Source organism: Homo sapiens, chromosome 18, assembly GCF_000001405.40.
Source record: "Homo sapiens chromosome 18, GRCh38.p14 Primary Assembly".
Taxonomy (NCBI): domain Eukaryota; kingdom Metazoa; phylum Chordata; class Mammalia; order Primates; family Hominidae; genus Homo; species Homo sapiens.
Window position 1 is genome coordinate 68,435,683 of NC_000018.10, and position 1,952 is coordinate 68,437,634.

Sequence of the window (1,952 nt, forward strand, 5' to 3'; positions counted from 1 at the left end):
TACTTCTTTACAAAGAAGTAAGTATCTGACGTTTCTTCTCTATAACTCATGCCCTCCTTCTGGGACCATGCACCAGATTGAAGACATCAGGACAAATACATTCACCGTGACTCTTACTATAGTCATGATCTCACAGTTTAGAAGGATGAGCCATAAATCATATCCTCAGTTAATGCCATTGTTCTAAAAAATAAGTTGAGATGTTTTATTACTAAAATTATATTCTGATAGTCTTTTCAGATGAGTAGAAACAGTTCTGTTGATATGCCAAATTTAGACAGTTCTCTAATACACTTTTCTTAAACTTTTGGCAGATGTTATTACGTATCCATCAAGAAGGGTTAGATGATAATTTAATTAAAAAACACACTGCAAGCACCTATTAATATTATTCCTGGGCTACGATTTGCATTAATTAAATATTTGTTGAATGAACAAATGGGAAAATTTGGGAAGAATCATGCTTAGCTGGACTATCTTTCAATTTTTCAATGAGCCCACGTCCTTCTGGTACATTTTACAAGAATTAATTCAAAAAGGAAATGATTCAGTAGACAGATTTCTAGCCCAGCAATTAGCACTGGGGATTTGGCAGACCACAGCCTCATGAAGCTTACAGTCTAATGCATCTCTTCTCAAATTGTCATGTGTGTTTTGATACCTGAGGATGTGGATATTGTTAAAATGCAGGTTGATTAGGTCTGAAATCAATATTCTGCTTTCCCCAGGTGACTTCAGTGATGCCACACACTGGCCACACACTAAGGAGAAAGGGTCTGGTAGGTGCGACTGACACTAATCATATAACTAACTAAACAAAGTGTAAAATTACAACCATGACAACATGCTATGAAGGAGATCAAATAACAGAGAATTTGTCCTGACAGGGAAGAGGAAGAAAGTCACCACTGAGGAAGTGAAGAAGGAGTTGCCATCTGGAAAATAGAGGTTATGACGCAAGAAGGCAAAAGGAAGAGGATTCCGTGAAGAGAACAGGAAACAGGAAATGCAGGCATCCGGGCAACAGTAAAATCACAAATACAAATATGTCCTCTGACTAATGCACACCCACACACACTCAAATGCAGAAAAGGGTAAAATTAGTTGCTTTCTCACATTGGATAACTTCTCAGGGCACAATCTCAAGATTGGTGATTCGATAAAAAATTACGTAATGTTTCACATGTCTAGACTTCAATCCATTCTAAATGAATATTTTCCTTCTTTAACCAGTATTGTGTCTGGATTTTCTATCCATTTAACAGCACGACTTCTGTGCTGTTAAGTAGTTAAGAAACAGAAAACTGAATAAGGAAATATGTGTGAGTGGAAAACATTTAAATCTAGCTTTTTCAAGTGATGACTTAATAAAATTCTGAGCAAAACTAGTGCATAATTACCCATATCTGGCAAAATAGACCCTCTGTAACATTGTGCTATATTACCACCTGTCTGCATGAAACTGGATTTTCAAATTAAAAATGTCTTCACTGAAACAGAATATAGAAGTAAATTGAATATAAAATTTAAAATATGCAATCAATATCAATCATTATAATTGCATAATGCAAGCCATGCTTGTGAAATTTTTATTTTATATTATGCCATTTGGTAAGAAGATTCACCAGTCTAAATTATGGTTTCTTAAATTTTGTAGCACTTTTGGTGGCATATTTCATGTGGTAAAACTACTTGATGTTTCACAGAATGGAGATAATATTAACATCATTAAGATTCCACAAGTATATTCAAGGAAGATTCTTACTTTTAGTATTAATATATTCAAGGAAGGTTCTTACATTTCTCACTAATTGTGGGAAATGTCTCTTCTCTCAGTCTAGTACAGTATGTTTCGATTTCTCACCTAATGAAGACAACTTTTTCAGAGATGGAAAGTCAAATAAATATTCATCTAAACTCAAAAATTGTGCCCCTTTTCCCATGAAATCTCT

The 1,952-nt window shown here is 34.5% G+C and overlaps 1 annotated feature.

The window, feature by feature from the left end:
- Positions 439 to 1,638: an enhancer, noted in NCBI's record as "MED14-independent group 3 enhancer chr18:66103358-66104557 (GRCh37/hg19 assembly coordinates)". NCBI's record gives its function as "activates an origin of replication core promoter dependent on BRD2, BRD4, P300/CBP and CDK7 cofactors, and independent of MED14, by STARR-seq in HCT116 cells {active_cell/tissue: HCT116}" and the evidence as "EXISTENCE:reporter gene assay evidence [ECO:0000049][PMID:35650434]".